Here is a 25,034-nt window from a genome sequence, read left to right on the forward strand (position 1 = left end):
CATGTCACCATCTGATAAATGCCTAGCACTTAGTAGGTGCTCAATGAATGTTTCCTGAATCAATGAACACAGACATGAACATACGAATAAAAAAAACATTAGTTATATTAATTCCTGAATATGGAATGAAATCCCATAACCTTTGGTACAATTTGAATTTTTATCACAAATGTGGATTATTTTGGATCGCAAACAGGAAGTAGAGAACACAGTCATAGCAGCCTGTAATTTCACTGGATTCTATTCATGATCTGCCTATAAAGAACAACAAAAACCCATAAAGCAAAAGGAAATATACTCTCTTTTCTTGTTTGCCTCATCAAATACATAGCCTTATAAAGAAAGAGGCTACTATGAGATTTTAAAAGGAAAATGTGAGTATGGAGGACAACAATTTTGCAGGCAAACTGTTATGCACGTACAGATTGTCAGAAGTTTTCTGTTAAAAGTTAGGCAAACGATGGTAGGTGCAACCTTTTTCAGATAAAATGTTTTGCAAAAATGAGAACTATTTCCCAGGTAGCAGCATTATAAGTGTTCTCAGGGTCATCCTGCCCACAGATTAGCAACGGCTTTGCCAGAACGGGCTTTGATGTTATCCAGGAATGACGAACAACAGACCTCCTGTGCTCCTTGCCCGCTAGATGAAAACATGAGAACATAAAGAAGCCCTGGTGCTTCTTTCCTTTTATCCTTGAACAAACACAGACATACAGCAGATGTGACCTCACTAAATATGAGCTGGTTCAACTGATGCTGAGTTTCTATTGCACTTCTAATGATTGCACATGGTGATGTTCCCACTCTGTGGGACTGAATCCAGGCAAAAGACAAAAGCAACCCTTTGCACCACAGACATAAAAGTTTATTTGAGGCATAAGTTCTGAATATTCTAACAATCCGATTACAGGATTATTTTTCTATAGCCCAAACTGCAAAGTTGAACTATCTGCTTGTGAGGACAATTGCTACCAAGACAGCTGACTTTCATTGTTTGAAGAAGCACGCTTGAACTCCTTCCTTAGAATCACAGCCTCAAGAAAGGAGAAGAAATTCCCTAACAAATTCCTCACTTACCAAAGGCATATAAGTCTATAGGGGAATTACAATTTAACCAAGCAAAAATTAGAAAATACTTGGTTTCAGAGAGACAGAGAGACAGAAAGGTAGTTATAACGTGTTTTTTGTGGAACACAATTATCAAAAAGCATTTACATGGCTCCACCTAATACAAAGAGGATTACACCAGAATGGTTTCTCACTCATAACTCAAATTTTAGTCCCATGATTGAGCACACTGGCATAATAGATATTCAATAAATGCCAATTTAATTGAAATTTAATGAGATTTAAAATTGAAACCTCATTTTTCCAAGAAGTCTTCCCTGATTATATCAGCTCACAAGAAACCCACTTCTCAGACTCCTATAATACTTACTATCCAACAATGATTATAAACTGTTCTTGTTGTTCTTTAATTATTTTTTGTATAGATCCTCATCTCCCCACCTAGACTGTGAATCCCTCAAATTCAAAGACTACACATTAAATTTCTTCTAAATTACCCAGAAGAATAGGGGTTGGAGGCACAGAGTAGGATAAATATGAAACATATCACCCCATTCATCCCAAGTGAGCACAAATAGCTGTGTATTCCTACAACACACACACACACACACACACATACACACACACAAATGTTCCTGCATGCCTCTTCATGAGCTGCTTCTTAGACGAAGACCTAATAAAATATGCATGCAAATGGAGGGAACCTGGAGAATGAGCCCATTCTGTTTTGCCCCATGTCCCACATTCACTGAGCTTAGAGAAGACAGAGCTAGTGTTTGCTGCGGTACTCAGGAAGCCCTGGACGTGAGTTTGAATAGAAAATGAGCAGAAACAACCTGACAATTTGCCACTCTAAAACATGTAAACTTTCTTTAGCTGCAGCTTGGTCCTAACTGAGTGTGTCCTGCCTCTTAGCGATCTGATCTCATGACTCATGTCTTTCTCAAAGGAATCTGTGGGAGATTTCATCTGTAGATTCATACCACCCCTGGCTTGTTGAGAGCATCACAAACTTAGTGTAGTAGTGCTGTTATCTTCCTTATTACTGATGCACACATGTGCCATTTGTGACTAATTTATGCTCACCAATCAGATCTGCATGAAGCAGTGGAGAGAATTTTCAAGGTAATGCAGCCAAACTAGGTATCTTAAAACAATGTGTGTTGCATGTACCTACCTTTCTTTCCAAAGAGCACAAGTGTTCTCTTATCAGGGGTGCATGCATGTGTGTGTGTGTGTGTGTGTGTGTGTAAGCATGTTAGGGAGTGTTATTTTGTTTACTTTCTTAACTAACTTGGGTCTGATCCTCTTAGTGGCTACCTAAAAGTGACTAGAAAAGTAAGCAAAAACATGCTTCCTTTTCAAATTCACAAAAATACTTTTTCTCTTGCTAAATATTCAAGTAACTCCAAATTGAGCAATTGACCAGATCAAGGCCAAACTTTCTGATGAAGTAATCAATCTCCCAAAATTTCTCTACACTGGTTAAACGCCACTTAGTCAAAGCCTCTATTCTTTTATCTGAGACTTTCCATTGTACATAAAAACAGACACGTTTAAAATTTCAAAGAAAAAGTATTCATGAAATTTGCTTCCTTGCTTTCTCCTTCTTTCCTTCCTTCCTTCCCTTTGTTCTCAATACTACAATTCACTATGCTACCAGCTAAGAGCTCTGAAAATGCCGGTAATCACTTAAGGCTTTTGTCCTCACTTAACTGGCAGAATTGCAGTATCTTTGCAATTCTTGGTTCTTCACTGATGCCATTGTCCATTTTGAAGAGTAGTCATCTCCAACCCAAGCCAGGTGTCTATTACAAAGAACTATTTAAAACTACCACTTTTGTAGGTTTAAAAAGTCAAATACTGGTAACTTCATATAGGTCAACCCTAATGTAGGTTTATCAACATCTTCGACGCCTCTTCATGTTACTCATGCAAATGTTATAAAACTTTATCTAATCAAATCCATAAGGTCTTTCCTATATGTCTCTTGTTCTGTTTTTACTGCTACACTTCTCCACTTCCTAAACATCACTGAAGCTCATGGCTCATCACCTCTCAGCAGAAGAACTGAGAATATGTCCTTGCTTGACTCTCCCCTTCCAATACAATCTTGAGACCAATGGTTCAGGTTCTTCCAACAATGCTTTTATTTCCCTGTTCAAGAATTCTTCCATATCAAATGCAAATGTTTCTCTTCTTGAGCATCCTACAACATGTCACCAGTCTCACGTCATTATTTCATTAACCTTTTTTCATTATTCTCCAACAGATTTCTATTTGAGACAAAATTCGCTGCCCCAACTCAATAGCTTGTTATTCCTTCCTAAGGGACTTCTGTGTGCTACTCCAGTGTCCGAATAATTCAGTCTATCAACTTCCACCAATGCAAGTCCCTTCTAACTTCAAAACCCTGAAGAAATCATTTTTCCAGGAAGGCTTTCCTAAGAGCTTTTTGTTTGTTTGTTTTGTTTTTTTGAGATGGAGTCTCACTCTGTCACCCAGGCTGGAGTGCAATGGTGTGATCTCGGCTCACTGCCACCTCCGCCTCCTGGGTTCAAGTGATTCTCCTGCCTCAGCCTCCCAAGTAACTGGGATTACAGGAACCTGCCACCACACTCGACTAACTTTTATATGTTTAGTAGAGACAGGGTTTCATCGTGTTGGCCAGGCTGGTCTCAAACTCCTGACCTCAGATGATCCACCCACCTCAGCCTCCCAAAGTGCTGAGGTTACAGGTGTGAGCCACAGCACCCAGCCGAGGCTTTCCTAATTAATTTTATTACACTTAATCCTATACTATTACCAAGAAATCATTCTTTCTAATATTAGGTTGGTGCAAATGTAATTGCAATTTTTGCCGTTAAAAGTAATAGTAAAAACTACAATTATGTTTGCACCAACCTAATAGTTTTGACGATTGCTCCTATCTGAATTTCAGATATGTATCTTTAAATCACCTTCTCACAAGAGCTTCACTACAATGACTTCTAAATTGTCTGCAGAACATATCCACTGGGTGTCTCATTTTTCATGTGAGACAGACTTGCATTTTAGTCTTAGTGAGAATTATGATGGTTATCCTTGATACTTGCTTAAGTTATTTTTTAAACTGTGAAACAGTAGGTGGGATTCTAAAATACCATTTCCTTCAGGAAACCCATGGGTGATGAGTCACTGGAGAGACTGGGAGAGTTAGAAGGAACTTAAAATGTAAATTTTGCAGCCCATCAGTACAAAGATGTCTAGCAGGGTTAAAACATGAAGCCAGAATTGAAAAACCCACAAGACAAGTAGCAACAAGTTTTTAGTAATTTAAGCCACAGAAATAGATAACATTTAAAAATGAAAGTCTAAAGAGCGTGAAGGAAATGGGCAAAACCTGGGGAAATCATACCTTTTATGTATGTGTTAAATGACTAAACGAAGTGAGATTCATTACTCAGATTTGACTACGTGATATCAGGTATACTCAAATACCTGCAGTCTTTCTTCAAAGGTATTAGCTTGATTTCCCTATTAACCATTTGTGGGTTATTATCTCTACTCTGCAGTTTGAAAGTTCAAGATGGAAACTAGAGGAAGAAATTGAACTCATGGTTATGATTAGTTAGGACTGACTTTTAAATGTCCAAGCCAGGTAATTAAATATGAACTCTGATCCAAAGCAACAACCACTCGGACATATGACTCATACATTTCTGGAAGAAAAGTTACTGCTTATTCTATAATGTAAAATGTCAAGCATTAGTGGAAAAGTCTGAGCTGCAGTTATCTTTTAAGTCATAACTGATTTTTTTAACTCTAGTAATCATAAGGTTTCAATCACTATTTTTTTTCTCCTGAAGAAACAATGAAATACTGATGTGGTCCAATACATTCACCACCAGCTCCTGATTCTAAGAGAGGAAATAAATAACATTGTTTTCGAGTATTGTGTCAGGGTTGTAAAATTTCAGGGTGATGATCACAGGATTATGTTCGCTTTAAAAATCCAAGCCTACAGACCTCAGGAAATATAAAAGTTAACTTATCCATTAGTTTCTTATGTTACCATTTCCAATAAAGGTCATGAAATAGGATTAAAAATCAAAACACCTTAATATTCCATTTTCTTCATAGTGGCATGTGTCCCCTATCTATGACTTCCTAAGTAAAGTAGTAATTTTAAGTACTATGCCTCAAGAACACAGTTATAGAAATTACTTGAAAGTGAAGAAAATGTGCATTATTCAGTAATCATGTATGGGTTTCTTTTTCTTTTTTTTGCTGACACTGTTAGAATAAACTTCACAATTGCTAATTCATATTTGCTGAGTGTCTAGTAGGGTTAAAACATGAAGCCAGAATTGAAAAACCCACAAGACAAGTAGCAACAAGTTTTTAGTAAACATTAGGGGAACAAGAAACTATACTGCTCTTTCTAGAGCACCTGGTGCAGAACAAGAAGACCTATTTCTAACTCCTGCTATGAGTGTGAGTGTAACCTTGCATAAGAGTAGCACATTTTATTCCAAATCAAAAGAACATTTTCTCAACTTAGAAAATATTCACCATGATGCTGAGCCTCAGATTGCAGGTTCGGATTTCCAAGTTCAATGCCCAGTAAATTCTGGATTTTCATTGTTGCAATGTGGGTAGACAGCCACCATGGTTATAGACTCCAACTGTCCAGCCCTCTCCTAAAGTCATCTATTGTTCTGTGGATTAATAGTGACCTCTTGTACTAGACATCTCTCTGAGGTCATGTCACACTCACCATGCCACCCCATCATGTCCTTATAGATGGGACCCTCCTCTTCTGGTTAACACATCATCTGAAGATAGCCAGAGAGCCATCTCTAAGCTGTGCAATGACAAGGAGTCATCCTTCATAGAAGACATCTGCCCCCCAAACAGGTCGTCTATACTTGATGGTGACTTGTTAAGAAGTTCACCCTGTGCTTTATTTCCAACTCAGGACACCTGGAAAAGGTAAAAGAACCACCATAGTTGTACTGGGACAACAGGTGGAAACCAGTATTGCTCCAGGCAAAATGGGTCATATGGCTATAACCAATTAGGCCAAACAGATCCCCTCTCTGTACATGAGACTTAGAAAGGAAACCAGAAGAAACACACAGACAGAAGGCTCTAAGCAAAGTCCTGACGCAGAAGAAAAGGAAGTAGGTATATGAATGAACAGAAGTCGTGAAATAGAGGAAAATAAAGAGAAACTCACCAAAGGGAAAAAATAGCTAATGTTTCATACACTGTGCTAAAAACTTTAGAGATCAGGTGGCATTTAATCTCCAAAGCAATCCAATGAGATATGTACAATTACCGTCATTTTACAAATCAGTTAAATAAAGATATCTGCTCAAGATCACGCAGCTAGTTAACACCGCCCAAGCAACGAAAACGGCTGAGTCACCACACTGGCAAAAGACCAGGGCAGGGGGTTCAAAAAGGGTGTGCACATTTCAGGGGAGTACCCAAACAATCTACTAGGATGTGGAGGAAAATTCCAGAAATCAGATTTACTTTTATTTATCCCCTATTTTAGAACTTTCTTCTGCTTATGTTCAATAATGTGGGCAACTCAGTACTATAGTAATACATATATGTAACTTATAAATAAGTGTGTATCGATTATGCTTACTTTTTTTCTGATGGGACATATGATCCAAAAAGTTGAAAGATCATGTCACAGTGAGTTTACCTAATAACAAACCTACACATGTACCCACGAACCTAAAATAAATGTTAAAAAAAAAGTTGAAAGGTCATTGTCCTAGAGTTCAGAACTACTTTTACAGTTACTGTGGCATAAACAGGACTAATCTCAAACTACTAGAACCAGCGTTGTAGCCTTGAGGCCCAGGTCAGGGGGAACGAGATCAATTCATATTCTTTTTATTACTCTATATATTCTGACAATGAACTCCCATCAACTCAAATCATCTGTGCTTGAAATATCAAAAAATCATCTTATATAAAAAGTTTTACAGGCCAGGTGCAGTGGCTGATGCCTGTAATCCCAGCACTTTGGGAGGCTGAGGGGGCGGATCACAAGGTCAGAAGTTCGAGACCAGCCTAGCAATATGGTGAAACCCCGTCTCAACTAAAAATACAAAAATTAGCCAGGCGTGGTGGTGGGCGCCTGTAGTCCCAGCTACTTGGGAGGCTGAGGCAGGAGAATCGCTTGAACCTGGGAGGCAGAGGTTGCAATGAGCCAAGATGGTGCCACTGCACTCCAGCCTGGGCGACAGAGCAAGACTCTATCTAAAAAAAAAAAAAAACAGTTTTACAGGCCCTAAAACCCACACTGTAAAACCACATCATTTCGAACCCAGACACAAATTTTTACCACATGCATAATCCCAGAATTATAGAGATATGTCTATAGTCTTGAGTGGGTCAATGCATATACAAAATTAACAATTAATTTTCATGGGTAAACAGTCTCCTTTTCCAAAAATTTGTTAAATTTTCACATTAGACATCTAAAAACCCACCTTAATTTTAACAGCCCTCTTTGTTAGTAATTAAGTTCTTATTGTCTATGCTAAGTTCCTCAGAATACTTACTTGAGTTTGTTTCTCCTATTGCATTCTCAGTTCAGATAATGACTATACACACAGTCCCTGACTTACAATGGTTTTGTCAGAGGCATTTAAACCAGAGCAACTCCATCTTGAAAAGGAGCTGGGTAAAATGAGGCTGAGACCTACTGGGCTGCATTCCAAGATGGTTAAGGCATTCTAAGTCACAGGATGAGAGAGGAGATCAACAGAAGATACAGGTCGTAAAGACCTTGCTGATAAAACAAGTTGCAGTAAAGAAGCTGGCTAAAACCCACCAAAACCAAGATAGCCACAAGAGTGACCTCTGGTCATCCTCACTGCTATACTTCCACCAGTGCCATGGTAGTTTACAAATGCCATGGCAACGTCAGGAATTACCCTATATGGTCTAAAAAGGGGAGGCATGAATAATCCACTCGTTGTTTAGCATATGATCAAGAAATAACCATAAAAAAGGGCAAGCTGCTGCACTTGGGGCTGCTCTGTCTATGGGGTAGCCATTGTTTTATGCCTTTACTTTCTTTATAAACTTGCTTTCACTTTACGGACTCGCCCTGAATTCTTTCATGCACAAGATCCAAGAACCCTCTCTTGGGGTCTGGATCAGGACCCCTTTCCTGTAACATCATTCTGGAGACCACCAAGGGACTAGAGTGAGGAAACCCCTGACCCAAAAGCTAACTTTAGGGTAAGTGGTGGTGTCCTATAACATCTTTCTGGTGACCACGGAAGCAACTATAGTGCAGAAACCCCCAACCCAAAAGCTAACTTTGGGTAAGTGGTGGGGTCCAGTAACATCTTTCTGGCGAACCACAGAATGGATGATACTGAGGTGACCCCCCACCCAAAGGAAATAGACTGCAGCACTGATTCAATAACTCTGGGTAAGTGGTGGTGGGGTAGCTGGGTAACGAATGGGATTGGGTTAGAGGCCCAACTTAGGGGAATTAGAGTCTCTCCTAAGACAGAGTGGATTAGAGGCCCCACTTAATAAAAGGCAAGGACACTTGACTGACCTTGGGTTAAAGGCCTAACTTAGGATGGTTAGAGTCCCTTCTAAGACTTAGGGGGTTAAAGGCCTCTCTCAGTAAAGTCCCTCTTGGTAAAGTCCCTTTTGCCTAAGAACGGATTTGACACTATGGGATGTTAACTGCTATTCTGTTTGGAATAATCTGCCTTGTACTCTTTGCTGACCGCTATGGGTGACAGAATTAGGCATGTACAGGATCGTGGGACATGGGGAGCTTTTTTCACCCTAAAAGGGGAAACTTGAGAGCTGATGGGACTGCTGGAAAAGATCCCTTCATTACCGACAAGCGGTCACCTGAACTTTTCAGTGTCACTGCAGTGTGTGGATCTTTCCCTGGCCTCTCTAAGTAACTCGCCTTCCCCACCCTGCTTCAGGCAATGCTTTCCTCTCTCTCGCTCATTCTGTGCAAACTGGTTGAATGAATGGTAAAAATCACTGTTTATCTTCTGTAAAGTTTTGATTCATGGGAAAAAGGATTTGTGAGGCTAGTCTTAAGCTGTAACAAATCCGGTCTGCTTTGCATGTCTTTCTGTATTGTTCTGTCATCAAGAGAGGTACATTAGGACAAAACACAGGCTTTGGACACCTATAAGCCTGCTGTTCAAGACGACCCAGCAAACTGGCCAGTTACAAACTTTGCTGCAGGTCCCTGAAAAAAATGGATGAGGTTTCCCTCTTGTCTTGTATGTCCTTGGGAGCTTGACCTTGTAACCGTGTGGCCATGCTTTCTCTTGTCACAATGGCAGCCTAGGTTCAGGGTTTGATTCCAAGCTTAGGGGATAAGTCCTTTATCTTCTTCTGTCTGTGTATTTATATGTATTGTGTGTGTGATGTTTATATATGAAAGAGCTTTGATTAATTGGTTTAATAATAAGAGGTTAAATCAAATATTTTGTGAGAAAAGTAAAAGGTATAATGCCTTTTATTTAGTTCACGTGATTTAAATAATCTTTGGGAAATAAAGGTAATTGTAAAGGATTATTGGTAAAATAAAATATCTTCAGAAATGTAAACATTTAGTCTAAATTATGCTGGTCAGATATTAAGTTTGCTAAATGCTTTAGGGTAATAAACTGCTTCTTTGACTTTTGAAAACTGTTCAATTGATTTTGGAGCATTAGATTCTAGATACAGCTGGGGACATGTGGAGTTAGCCACACCCCCTAACTATGCTGGAAAAAGTCAGCTCTTATCTGCACTTCTGTCTGCTGTCCTAGGCTCCACGCATGGTACATAATTAAAATCCCGAACTTACCAAGGTTTTCATCAAAAGTAAAAGTTGCTAAGAGTTAACATTGTTACATGTAATTGAGACTACTGAAGGAACAGTTTTACATGCGAGGTGTATAAAGAAAGTGAAATGTGTTTTTGGTAAAAGATTATAAGAAGCCATGGGAATGTGGATTTTTTTTGCCTAAGTTTAGAGAGCTACAGGATTGTTTTAAGTAAGATAGGAAAAGCTGAAGTTTTAAGCAAGTTGTGGAAAGTTTGTGAAAAATTAATCTTGTAAAACAAATTCTGTCTGTGAACATATTGGCTAAAGTTAAAGGGGTATTATTCAGTTTTTCTGTAAATTAAACATTGGAATAAAAGCACAATAGGTTTTTCTTAGAGCAAAAACCTGCTTATGATCTGCTCTTTAACAAAAATTGTACAGGGTTATAAAAGGTTTATTAAAATTTTACCTTATGATCAAACTGATTAAGATTGAATACATTTGTCTGTAAGGTTTCATTAAAAATTGGGTTTAACATCAGTAGTGCACTAATGCAACAGTGATATCTGGCTTACTTGATATTAAAATCCTACAGGAAGCATTGTCAAATATAAAATGGTGTTTGGTTTCCTTTGGGCTGTATTTGCATAAATGTGTTTTTGGTATATGTTCCAAAATTATGGGAAACTCCTATAATTCTAATATGACTTAGTGTATGTTTTTAATAATTGTTACATAAAATCATTGTATGCCACAAAGCTAACCAAATTTCTTTATCAATCGTGTTTTTTGACTGTGGTTGTCCCAAGATATTTTGTCATCCACAAACAACTGTTATCTTGTTTTGGTCCTCTTTAGAAGTTGATTTATAATTAACTATAAAATTCTAGCAGGTGTTCTTGAATGCAGGTTTCTGATAACTTTGGAGATTGTGACATCAGAAAAAAAGGGAAAAACTTTCAGGACTCATGGAGAGCTGAAATGTTCATGAATATCAAGCAAAACGAATTAACTGAATTGACTGAACCAATAGAAGTCTAAAGTAATCTTTTTAACTTTGCTTAAAATGTTGCTGATCCTTTGTTTTTCAGAGTCAAGAAAACTTTTCTTTTGAGTTATTTAAGGCTTGTAACAATTGAACAAACTCCTGTGAACAAAATTTGGAGCATATTTGTTTCTCTCTACCTGATTTCTCCAGAATTTGGAAAGTAGTTGTAAGTATTCTTAATTTATGGCAATATAGTTACTTGCATAAGTGCAATACAAATCTGTTTTCTTTTGCAATACTAAGACACAATTGAAGAAACCGGTTATTTTACCGAGGCTTTGACTGGAATGGTGTGCTTTCCTTTAAGGACTCAAACTTGACTTGTAAAGCCAATAAAAGCCGCTTGAGGAACTAGCCTTAGACCTTGTCTATGACAGTCCCTATACAGAGTTTCTGACCTGTAGTAAGTAAAGAATGTGACTTTCTAACAAGTCCAGGAACCCCAAGTTATCTTGGGACCTCAAAAGGAAAGGAATTTACCCAATTCATAGGTATTAGAGAGTACAAACCCACAGCAGGGCTCAGCTCTAAAAAAGTCTTATCTAAGAATCCTTCTATGGAACAGAGTTCCATCAAAGCCAATTTGAAAGAGCTTATGTGAAAAATAATTATTATAATTATTCTTGCTGCACTTATACAAATAAACAGGCCAAGTATAATAAAGCAAATCAGTCTTACCATGATTTGTCTTTAGTAAAAATGGGAAACGGGAGAGAGAAAAATTATATTTCAAGAACTATGGTACATCTGTTATTAGATTATAGTCTCATCAGTTGTTTTTAAGTTTGTTTCTGTAACTTAGGCTAACGCTGCTTATTCCTGTGAACCAACCAGTAATCTCTGACTGCTGCTCAGAAAAAAAACAAAATGGATGGGTAATGTAAAAATCTGGATCAGTATTCTAATTCTGTGCATATATTGGAATTGGCTAGCAAACCCATATCAGCTTGGTTCCAACAGTTGCCCAGTTCATGGAAAGCCTTCTTACTTGGTTTTCTTGAGATATTTTTACTTATGTTGCTTTACTGTTGTGTAATGTATTGCTGTTGTAGTCTTTTTGTAGAAATGCAGGACAAGCTTTCTGAATGTTTTCTTAAACTAAACACTTATTAATCTTCCAGATATTGCCTCTTGTCGGAACTCAAGAGTCACGGATAGCCCTCACCATACTGATGCTTTCTGACTGAGCTCCTCCCTACCCTGAACACAAGAGATGCTAATAGGCAGAAATACCATCACCCCTTTCAGCCTGAAGAAGTTACAGAAGATGGATATTTATCCCTCTGCAACCCTTAGGATTAAAGGTTCTCTTATAGAAGGGAGGGGGGAAATGTCAGAGGTGTTTAAACCAGAGCAACTCCATCTTGAATAGGAGCTGGGTTAAATGAGGCTGAGACCTATTGGGCTGCATACCCAGATGGTTCAGGCATTCTAAATCACAGGATGAGATAGGAGGTCAGCAGAAGATACAGGTCATAAAGATCTTGTTGATAAAACAAGTTGTAATAAAGAAGCCTTTACCAAGATAGCCACAAGAGTGAACTCTGGTCATCCTCACTGCTACATTTCCACCAGTGCCGTGACAGTTTACAAATGCCATGGCAATGTCAGGAATTACCCTATATGGTCTAAAAAGGGGAGGCATGAATGATCCACCTCTTGTTTAGCATATTATCAAGAAATAACCATAAAAATGGGCAAGCAACAGCCCACAGGGCTGCTCTGTCTATGGGGTAGCCATTCTTCTATTCCTTTACTTTCTTTTTTTTTTTTTTGAGATGGAGTCTCACTCTGTCACCTAGGCTAGAGTGCAATGGTGCAATCTTAGCTCACTGCAACCTCCGCCTCCTGGGTTTAAGTGATTCTCCTGCCTCAGCCTCCCGAGTAGCTGGGATTATAGGTGCCCACCACCATGCCTGGCTAATTTTTGTATTTTTAGGACAGACAGGGCTTTGCCATGTTGCTCAGGCTGGTCTCGAACTCCCGACCTCAGGGGATCCGCCCTCCTTGGCCTCCCAAAGTGCTAGGATTACAGGCATGAGCCACCACACCCGGTCTTATTCATTTAATTTCTTAATAAATTTGCTTTCACTTTACTCTATGGGCTCACCCTGAATTCTTTCATGCTTGAAGTCCAAGAACCCTCTCTTGGGGTCTGGATTGGGACCCTTTTCCTGTAACAGCTTGACTTACGATATTTTCAATTTGTGATAGGTTTATCAGGACATGTCCCCATTGTAATTCAAGGGACAACTGTGGTTGGTTCTCACACTTTGCATGACTTTTGAAATACATGAAAATACTTAATTCAACCGTTATTCTTTCTCTCTCTGATCCAAGTCCATCTCTGTTTAATTTTATTGGACTCTCAGGAAATATCCCATACTGTGATAGTGCTTTAGGCAGAGTCCTTAGCAAAATATCCTCTTGGGGATGTGGAAGATGGGAAAGTAAGGGTGGAAAGGGCTGCTGTGACTCTCCTGTTTGATTATTTCTAGAGCATTAAAAAGTAATTGCTTAAGCATTAATTTGAATTCTAAGGAATAGTAGTAGTTACTAAAATTTGATTCTGAAGTAACTGTCCAAATTACTAATCGAGGTGAGAACCTCTCCACCTGCTTTCTATTCCCTCCATGTAGCTTCTCCTGTCTCTATCTCTCAATCTCACCAGAGTCAGTGTCATCCCCATCCCCTTTTCTCTTACCTTTCTCACTCTCCATCCCCCCATTTCTAACCTTCTTACTTCCTTAGAGATAGTATACATAAAAGCATATTTTAAGTATTCATTTAATATACATTGATGTCTCCTTTTCTAAGTTATAAAAGATTAGTTGAATATGAAAATTTAGAAATAACAAAATACTACCTAGTACATAATAGATGTGTGTTAATGTTCACTCATTTCCCCATTTAGTTTATTTGTTGTATATTTTTGCCTTACAATTGGCCCTTGATTAATTTTGTCAGGATCAATGGCAGGATTAATGGGGAGAAAACAGGATTCCCCATCTTAACGCTAGCCTTTCTCCATTCCATGGTCTTTCTAGCCATAATGGTCCCCAAAAATTCCAACTTTATAATGTTACTGTTAAAAGTTGCATGTCTAGTATATAAGGCCTCTTATTAGAACACAGGATGTTCAAGTCTTCACAGATTAGGCACTGGAATGAGAAGCTCCAGGTAGGACAGGGCATCTGACCCAGCAGCCAGATTGTCTTAATAAGTGTCCATCTCCAGCAAGGCTGTTTTACTTGCTGCAACTTACATACTCTTCCCTCATTGGTCTGTGGCTGCCTACATAGAACGAGGTATATGGATGGCAGAAGAATTTCCTACATTCTACTTAGCTCAAATGAAATCCACCAGCACTTTCTTTTAAATGTTCTTAATTGCCAAAGGAAATATAAATGGAAATATATAAAAAACTTATAGTTTTTCAAACAACAGGTTATTGATCCTCTATGGATCACATCCTCCTGCATACAGTCTCTTCCATGACTGAGATCAAGAGACCAAACTTAAACCTTCTGGACATCATGGTCCATTTGCACCAGGAAAGCAGAAACAGTACCCATATTGCCTACAATTATATCTCCAGTGTCTATCACAGTACCTAACACATAAAAAGTGTTCAGTAAATACTTCAGAAATAAATGAATGATACATGCACATAAATTCTCACCGTTTCAAAAAAGAAACACCCCCTCCCCAGATGTAGGTGAACTGGGCCATTACCCATTACATGAACTAGCAAACAGGAAGAATTTCTTTTAGTAACAAGAGAGTTGTTCTTTCAAAATTATCTTACAGGAATCTAAATTATGTTAACATTTCAAAGCAAATTCAAATGAGTAGGTTTTTTTTCCTTTGTCCATGTAAATCAAACAACATATGACCAAGAATGTCCTAAAACACTTTGTTCATTTCCTCACAGCACCATAGCACAGCTCTTTTTCAAAGGAAGAGAAAGAGTAATTCGTAACTGTTTGCCTCCCCTCAACAGCTGCTATTTAAATTATGAGGTGTCATCCTGTTGTAAATTATATCTTACCTAAGGAAATTGCACTAATTTGGCAAATACCAAGTAAATCTAGCCAAATTAAATACAGAGTTACTTATACTAAGAGCTGGAACACACAATCTTACTAAGGCAAAGTGACAAGAATTACTTCAAAGACTAAAGAGCAATTAGAGGTGCAGAGCACAACTAAAGCAGGGTGCAATAATGACACTGAAATAGCAGCTTTTGACAAGCCCGACAACAAGGGCTCCTTATGACCTCCACATCATCTTTTCTAAAGCTTCTAGTGATTAGTGACAACTCTTCGGCTAAGCCCAAGCAAAGTCTGAACTAAAAAAACTAACAGCAATATGGAAGCCAGAATCAAATATGATTTCACTGGAGTAACAAAGATAAAATTAAAAACAACTCTCAGCATTTCAAGGAAGAAAGAAAGAGATGGAAAATGTAATTAGTCATCCCTAGGTATCTGCTGGGGAATGGATTCCAGGACCCTCTGCAGATACCAAAATCTACAGAAGCTCAAGTCCCTGATATAAAATGCTATAGTATTTGCATATAGCCTATGCACATTCTTCTGTACACTTTAAACCATCTCTAGATTACTTATAATACCTAATACTCCCTATCCATCACTTTATTCATGTAGATTCAATGTAGTACTCAGGGTGCAGCAAATTCAAGTTTTGCTTTCTGGAACTTGGCAGAATTTTTTTCAAATATTTTCAATCTGCAGTTGGCTGAATTCATAGATGTAGAACCTATGGATACTACTGTATATATTAACATACACATCTCTGATTTCTTACAGAGAATGGGAGTACCATTCTATTTTGTGCCAATAAATGTGCTAGTTACTTTACAAAAATTATTTTATTTAATTTCTAAATAAACCCAAGATGTCTACATCACCATCATTTTACAGTATGTACACTGAAAATGAAATAGGTTTAAATAACCACTCAAAGTCATACTCCCAGTAAGTGGCAGTGCCATGGTCTAAGTACAAACCCCAAGGCAGGAAAGAGAAGTTTCATAGCACCAACAAAGAACTTAATGCCAAAACTGTGTGTGATTCTGGAGAGAAGTAAGCCCTAATGCCCTAACAAATCCCTTGTCTATAACAAATGAACTTCTCTCCTACCCATCTAAAATGAAAAGGATGGTTATATATCATCCTTTGGAAAACTAAGAAAACAGTTATGCATATTATTATCTGTGTTCTGTGGTAGATGAGGAATCCTGGCGAGAAAGACTAGAATGGAGAGTATGATAGTTTCCTATTAATAGTGTGAAAACACATTCCCTGAGATGATCCAGCAAAGCTACTCCTAGGAAAATACTCTATTAGGAATGTGCCATGGTAGTCTGGTAAAGCTCATGGAACCTTTCCCAGAACAATGATTTATAATCTACATTCATAATTGAAGGCAATAAGCTAGCCTCCATGGTCCCAGGCACCAGGCTGGCATCCACAGACCCAGCCTTCAGGAACACCCCTGTGGACCCAGGTTCTAACCTGGCTCCCATAGGTTCAGGCTTAAGGGCCACCCCAGCACCTGGCCAAGTTCTGTAGAGCCAGGCTTCAGGCCAGGCCCATGGTTACAGGTTTCAAGTCCGCCCCCATGGACCTAAGTGCCAAGCAAGCCCAGTGGACCAAGGCTTCAGGCCCAACCCCATAGATTCAAGCACCAGACTCATATACCTACTGACCCAGGCACCAGGCCAGCCTGCTCAAGGACTGTATCAGCAATCCTGCCTGAGAAATCCACCAGACAGCCCATCAAGAATCTCTGGACGGGCTGATTGGTGAAGGACTTTCCTTGCTGAAGTTAGTTAAGACTAGACTAGATGCCTAATTCTTAAAATGTGCAGACACCAACACAAGGTCACAAAAATCACAAATAATCAGGGAAACACAAAACCACCAACAAAGAACAAAACAAAGCAACAGTGACTGGCCCTAAAGAAATGGAGATCTATACATTTTCTGATAAAGAGGTCAAAATAATCATCTTTAAAAAGTTCAGTGAGGTGGGCATGGTGCCTTGTGCCTGTAATTCCCAACACTTTGGAAGTGGAGGTGAGAGAATCGCTTGAGGCCACAAGTTTGAGACCAGCCTGGGCAACATAGTGAGAACACATTTCTACAAAAAACTTTTTAAAAATTAGCCAGGCATAGTGGCACATGCCTGTAGTTCCAGCTACTCAGGAGACTGAGGCAGGAGGATCACTTTAGTCCGGGGATTCAAGGCTGTACTGAACTATGATCATGCCAACACACTTCAGCCTGGGCGACAGAGCGAGATCCTGTCTCTAAAAAAGAAGTTCAGTAAACTACAAGAGATCTCAGATTGACCACCAAACAAAAACCAGGAAAACAATTACACAAAATTAGAAGTTCAACAAAGAGACAGAAACCATAAAAAGAACTAAACAGAAATTCTGGAGCTAAAGAATACAATGTCTTAACTGAAAAATTCCATAAAGGGCTTTAACAGCAGATTTGATCAAACTATAGAAGGTGAGCTCAAAGGCAGGTCATTTGAAACTACTCAGTCAAAGAAACATGAGAAAAAAAGAATTTAAAAAGACTGAAAAAAGCCTACATGAGTATAGGATATCATCAAGAGAACTGATATAGGAATTACGGGGTCCCAGAAGGAATAGAGAAAGAAAAAGGGGCATAACAGTTATTTAAAGAAATAATAACAGAATACTTCCCTAATTTGGACAGGAAATGAACATCCAGATTCATGAATTCCAAATAACACTAAATAGATTAACTATAAAGAGATCATCACTGAAACACATTAAATCATTCTCAAAAGTCAAAGTGAATTTTGAAAGCAGCAACAGAGAAGCAACTCATCACAAACAAGAAAACTTACATAAGACTATCAGCAGATTTCTCAGCAGAAACCTTGCAGGCCAGGAGACAGTGGGATGACATATTCAAAGTGGTGAAAGAAAGGACTGCCAACCAAGACTATTACACTCAGAAATGAGGGAACGATAAGGACTTTCCCAGAAAAATAAAAGCTAGGGGAGTTTATCACCATGAGACCTGCCTAACAAGAAATGCTGAAGGCATTTCCTAAAGTTGAAGTGAAAGGACACTAATTAACAACATGAAAACATGTAGAAGTATAAAATTCACTTTAAAGGTAAGATTATAGTCAAATTCAGAATCATCTACTGTAATGGTGATGGATAAATCGCTTTTAATTCTAGTATAAAAGTTAAAAGACAAAAGCATTAAAAATAAGTGTAGCTATAATAACTTGTTAATGGATATACAATATATAAATATATATAAATTGTGGCATCAATAACATAAAATTATTATAAAAACAATTATACAAAATTAGAAGTTCAACAAAATTAGAAGCGATGTAGAACTCTACACTTTAACTTATCCTGGGAGGAGAAGTTAGTGTAGAGTTTTTGTATGCAGTTGAAGTCACACTGCTATCAGCTTAAAATAAACTGTTATAACTACAAGACATTTTAGGTTACAGAGCACAAAGTTTCAGTTAGACAGGATGAATAGATTCTAGAGATCTATTGTACATTATGACTATAATTAATGAAATGCATTTTATACTTTAAAATATCTAAGAGAGTATATCTTAAATGTTCTCACTACAATAAATACATTTGTGTGGTGATGGATGCGTGTTCTGGGGCATATATGCTTCATTTAATCAATTCATAATGTATACATATATTAACTCTTCATGTTATACACCATAAATATATACATTTTTTCTTTGCCAATTATAGTTTAATAAAGCTGGAGGAAAAAATTAAACCTACCAGTTCAATAAATAAATAAATAAATAAATGTAATCAAAGGCAATGAAATAGTGAAAATAATGAAAATTGTGAAAACAAGCTAGTGAAAATAAAGGTATGACTTTTTTTCCCATCGAAGTTTATGAATCCAAAAAACGATGAGATGTATATTTAATTTAGGGATACATACACATGTGATAAATGATAAAACTAAAGAAAATAAAGGGGATGGTTAACACAAAACTCAGGATAGTAGTTATCTTTGTGGTGAAACGGGGGCTTCTAAGTTACTTGCAAGTGCTCTTTCTTAAGCTAAATGAGAGGCACTTGTGTAATTTTTATTTCTTTTAGAAGTTCTATTAGTGGGGAATTTCTTCCCCACTTCCATTGTTTCCTTCTGGTAATGGGAATTTGGAGAGTGAAACTGTGGCATTTCTCCATTCTTTTACTTGCACAGCCCTAAAGAAGTGAAGGGACTTATATGATTACCTGAATGCTAAGACTGGGTAAAATTACAGGTTCAGAATTGGCACACCCACTTGGCCAAAATACCTAAAGCCAGATCTTTACATCTAGCCTCTATTACATAAAAGGTGGAAATTTGGTATCCATCTTCCCTACCCTCCTCCTCAACCTTTCTTTAGTGAAACGAACAGGTCTATTTAACTTCAAAACCTGCTATAAAGCTACAGTAATCAAGACACTGTCATGTTTGTGAAAGAACAGACAAACAGATCAAAGGAACAGAACAGATAGCCCAGAAATAGACTTACATAAAAATATCAACAGATCTTTGACTAAGGAACAAAGGCAATAAAATTAAGTAAAGGTAGTCTTTGAACAAATTATGCTAGAACAACTGGACATCCACATGCAAGAAACTAAATCTAGACAAAGACTTTTCACCCTTCACAAAAATTAACTAAAAATGGATCATAGACCTAAATGTGAAGTGCAAAACCATAAAACTCCTAGAAAATAACATAGGAAAAAAATCTAGATGACCTCAAGTGTGGCAATGACTTTTTAGATACAATACCAAAGGCACAATCCGTGAAAGAATCAAATGATAAGCTGGACTTCATGAAATTTAAAAACTTCTGTTCTGCAAAAGACAGTGTCAATAGAATGACAAGATAAGGCACCAACTGGGAAAAATATATGCAAAAGACATACCTGATAAAGGCTATGTCTTTGTATATTATTATCCAAAATATACAAAGAAACTTTAACGCTCAACAACAAGAAAATAAACAACCTAATTAAAAACTGTGCAACAAGTATACTTATGTAACAAACCTGCATGTTCTGCACATGTATCCCAGAACTTAAAGTATAATAAATAAATAAACCACAAAGAAAAGGAATTATTGGGTTAATATCCTAACTATCAGAATCACTAATGTGGATTTCTAAATAAAGCCCATAAACAACAACAACAAAAAAACTGTACAAAAGACCTGAACAGACACCTTACCAGAGAAATTATATAGATGGCAAATAAACCAATAAAACAAATGAACAAATAAAAAGATATTGAGAATGTATACTGGAAAAGCCCACATTTCTTTTTAATGACACTTATATTTCATATTTTACTTAACCATTCCTAAATTGTTGAATATTGTTATTGTTTTCTCTTCTTTAGCTAAGGAACACAGCTAATGAAAAACAATATTTCTGCAAATTTTTTACCCACATTTGGGCTACCCTAAAACTCAACTGGAATGAAGACATTAACTGATAAGATTATCAGGCCCTTCCATCTAAATCTGTTGTCAGACAACAAGGAAGCTCTAAGTGGCATAACCTACAACATATTTTGTATAAGTAGAACTTGAACAATACCCACAGAATTTTGTATGAAAAGTCAACAAAATAGCCCGTATTTTCTATGGGACATGCATCAAAACAACTAATGATACTCTTATTTGCCTTGAATTTTGCCCATCCCATGTTGACTCAACAACCTATGTTAATTATAAATTTTACAAGCAAGAAAGTGTATCATTGAATGTGTGTACTCATGAGTAAATGGAGATACAATTTTGTTATTTATTGTTTAAGATCAGAATTCTTTGCTTGCTGGTTAGTTTATATTTTCCTTTCTGAGCCAAGGCCTTATAAATATGTCTGGTTCATCTGACAGCTCTCTAGAAAGTGTACCAATGTATACTCTTTCCTTCAATGTGACAGTGCCTATTGCCCTTACCTTCTCTTAAAGACTGTAATTTTTACATATTTCTGCTGATTGGATGGATGTAATAACATACAACAGTTGTTTAAACTTGTAATTTATTATTTGTGAGTTTTAACATTTTATCTATGTTGGCTACATACCTTTTGGTTTTTTAACAGCTTTATTAATATATAAGTTACATACCATTAAGCTCACTTATTTAAAGTGTGTAATTTCAATGATTTTTACTATATTCACAGTTGAGTTGTGCAAACATCTCAACTAATTTTAGAACATTTTTATCAATTCAAAAGGAAATCTTGTACTTACTGCCTCTCTTTACCTCCTCTTCCACCAGCCCTCGGCAATCATTAATCTAATTTCTGTCTCTACAGATTTGCCTATTCTTGACATTCCATATAAATGGAATCATGCAATATGTAGCATTTTATAACTGGATTATTTCACTTAGCATAATATTTCCAAGGCTGATCTATGTTGTAGCATGTATCAGTAGTTCATTACATCTTATGGCTAAATAATGTTCCACTGTAGGGATATATCGTATTGTGTTTGTCCATTCACCAGCTGCTAAGCATTTGGGTTGTTTCCACTTCGAGCTATTATGAACAATGCTGCTATGAACATTTGGGTACAAATTTTTGTGTGGACATACATTTTCAACTAGGGGTAAAATTGCTGGACCAAATGGTAATTTTATTATAGCTTTCTGAGGAACTTCCAGATTGTTTTTCAAGGTCCTACACCATTTTAAATTCCCACCAGCAGTTTATGAGGGTCTCAATATCTCCACATCCTGGATAATACTTTTTATTATCTGTTTTTTTTTTGTAACTATAATTCCAGGTTTCAAGTGATATCTCATTGTGGTTTTTATTTGCATTTTTCCTGATGTTTAATGACAACATCTTTCCATGCGTTTACTAACCATTTTTACGTATTTTTTTGAGAAATATCTATTCAGATCCTCTGTCCATTTTTCAATTGGGTTGTCTTTTTATTATCGATTTATAAGAGTTCCTTATATATTCTAGATTCAAGTCCCTTACCAGATAAATTATTTGGAAATATCTTCTCCCTTTCTTTGGACTGCATTTTCACTTTCTTGATGGTGTCCTTTGAAGCACAAGAGTTTTTAATTTTTATGAAGTCCAGTTTATCCATTTTTTTCTTTTGTCACCTATGGTTTGGTGTTGTATCTAAGAAATCACTGCCTAACCCAAGGTCATACAGATTTACTCCTGTGTTTGCTTCTAATTGTTATATAGTTTTAGTTCTTACGCTGAGGTCTATGATCCACTTTGAGTTAATTTTTTGTAGGGTCCTTTCACTTTTAAATGTCACAGATTTCCTATATTCTAAAGAGAGAAGAAAAAAGGTAAAATTGAGGCAATATAGGACAATTTGTGTTCTACAGCACTAGAAAATGGAAACCACTGAAAACATTAGCTAGTACGATGTATATATGCAGGTGCATGTGTGCGTATATATATAATACATCATACATACTTTTAATTATTATTTTTTCCTCCTATAATAAGCCTAGGTTTTTTTCCTTCCAAATGGCAAAGGGAAAACAAGGCTGCCAGTCCCCCAGTCATTCCTTCTTTCCTTTGTTGTTCTTACTGCTACAAGCTTTCTTGTGCTTTCCTTGATGGCCCTGCAGCAGGCCGGCCTCCTTCTGAGCCTGGAGTTTGTTAAAGTTCTTCACATGGAGCATCAAGTACTGCAGTTCAAATTAAAGCAACTTCTTGTACTTGTGTCTTTCCTCTAGTGTAGGCAATATCTGGCTGCCAATGCCCACCTCTGCCTGGAGCTCTCACCTGCCTCTGCTCCCTCCAGAGGTTCAGAGCAGCTTCACACAGGCAGCAAATAAATAAAGTTCTGAGCCTAGGGCAGGAAGCTCTTTCAATATGAAACTTGACCTGAACCTTTCTCTAGTGGCTTAGAAAAAGCATGTATGTATGTGTGAAAAACTTGGACTTTTTTCTAACTGTAAAATTGATGTGTCACCACTGAAAACATTTTGGAAAATCAAAAGACTATAAAGAAAATATCACACCTCTTTTCATGTCCCAGAGTTAGACATGATTATCATTTTGTTATGTATCTTTAGAGAGACAGACAAATTTGCCAAAGTGTACACTTGTACATGCATATATATTTTAGATAACCAGAAACGTATTATATACACAGTTTCACATGAAGTCTCTTTTCCATTTCACATTTTGTAATGTCATTAAATATTACCTGAAAACATTAATTCCCTCCTAGAATAAATTACGATGTATTAAATCTTTTTCTTCTTTTTATATATTTGTTTCTTCCATTATAAATAATCCTGCGATAAACATCTCATCTGTTTCTCAACATATGTTTGATTCAACATTATTTATACTTATCAATTCGATCATTGACAAACATCCTGCTTTATAAGCTGTGGTAGAGATACAATGTGGGTCCTCAGAAAGCTCACAGAAAATAGGCTTTCTCTTGCTCCCTTATTTCATGCCGCCTCCTTGGTATACCCGCTGACTTCCTGATTTCTAATTACTTTCCCTGACCATGATTCTTACCTAATCCTTGCCTATCTACTGCTTTTAACATGTGCTTTTTCCCCATAGCTGAACTAAGCTTATGGATACCTAATGTAGATGACAGGTTGATGTGTGCAGCAAACCAGCATGGCACATGTTACATGGCACATACCTATGTAACAAACCTGCATATTATGCACATGTATCCCAGGACACAGGAAGGGGAATATCACACTCTGGGGACGGTGGTGGGGTCGGGGGAAGGGGGAGGGATAGCAGTGGGAGATATACCTAATGATAGATGACACGTTGGTGGGTGCAGCGCACCAGCATGGCACATGTATACATATGTAACTAACCTGCACAATGTGCACATGTACCCTAAAACTTAAAGTATAATAAAAAAAAATTAAAAAAAAATAAAAAATAAAAAATAAAAAATAAAAAAATAAAAATTTTGTGCAACTCAAAAAAAAAAAAAGAAAATTGAAATTCAGATCTAAAGGTATTAGTTAGTAAAGTAAGAGAATGTCAAATGGATGAATACAAATATATATAAAAAAAAAAAAAAAAAAAAAAAAAACCTCCTGTTTCCTGACTGTTCCTCTAGCAAGCATTTCTCAAACTTTTTGGTCACAGGACCCCTTCACACTCTTAAAAATTATTAAGGACCCACATCTGGGTCCTTAATTATGCAGATATAATCAGAGTTCAAGTTGCATAACTGTGAGGCTTCCTACAACAATTTGTAACTGCACTTGTGTTTCATGCAGCCTGTCTAAATAGAACCAGAAGGACAAATGTCCACAGCCCTATTTCTAAACAGAGCTGAAGCTTCTGCCCTTTCAAAAATGCTAGTAAAAACCATTTTTAGGGTACTTCCAAGATAGGACACTCTCTAGATAAGCATGTTATCCTCCAGTTCTTCATGGCCCTTCAGAGTCTCTGTAAGTTTGACCACCTCCAAGTCATCCAGTAGAACACACACACACACACACACACACACACACACCCCAATCTCAGCCACATAGTAAAACATTACAGAAGCACCAGGACTCAGTGGGTTCCTGGGGAGCCATCACTTTCATTTTCAGGCATAAGTCTCTCTTTGCAGGGGTTCCAGCTGAAGGGCAAGCAAGGTTCCAGGAGAACAAGGGTGAGTCAATGGTGCCTTGCCAACTGAGACTGGATCTCCATTCATGTGGGCTGCTCTATTGGGTTATTATCCACCTTATTCTTTAAAAGACAATTTCTAAACCACTTCCAAGCATTTGTAAAACAAACATTGCCACCCACCAGCAATGTTTGCTTTATTCTGAAATTGCTGTATTTACCTTGAAAACCACAAACTGTAAACAGGGCACCTGTTCAGAGAAGATCTTCAAACTGCTCACTCACTAAATCAACACCTGGGAAGGAAAGGCAGTTGACTTCGGCTTGAATACACAGTGTACAAATCAATCTTTTATCTAAAACTCTTGGTGGTAGCTTGAATAAGTTAATGATTATTAAGCTTATGGAGCAACACAGAGACTTCCATAAACAAAATA

General features: G+C 37.3%; 1 protein-coding gene across 8 annotated transcripts in view, besides 2 other annotated features; it reads right to left on the reverse strand.

Annotated features, from left to right (window-relative positions):
* The window catches only part of ITPR2 (inositol 1,4,5-trisphosphate receptor type 2), a 497,843-nt gene that overhangs the window by 409,179 nt on the left and 63,630 nt on the right, over positions 1–25,034 (reverse strand). The gene's annotated exons all lie outside the window — the stretch shown is intronic.
* Positions 5,263–5,542: an enhancer, noted in NCBI's record as "active region_6126". NCBI's record gives its function as "activates an Ori minimal core promoter by ATAC-STARR-seq in GM12878 lymphoblastoid cells {active_cell/tissue: GM12878}" and the evidence as "EXISTENCE:reporter gene assay evidence [ECO:0000049][PMID:35858748]".
* Positions 6,383–6,432: an enhancer, noted in NCBI's record as "active region_6127". NCBI's record gives its function as "activates an Ori minimal core promoter by ATAC-STARR-seq in GM12878 lymphoblastoid cells {active_cell/tissue: GM12878}" and the evidence as "EXISTENCE:reporter gene assay evidence [ECO:0000049][PMID:35858748]".

Source organism: Homo sapiens, chromosome 12 (genome assembly GCF_000001405.40).
Source record: "Homo sapiens chromosome 12, GRCh38.p14 Primary Assembly".
NCBI classification, from domain to species: Eukaryota; Metazoa; Chordata; class Mammalia; order Primates; family Hominidae; genus Homo; species Homo sapiens.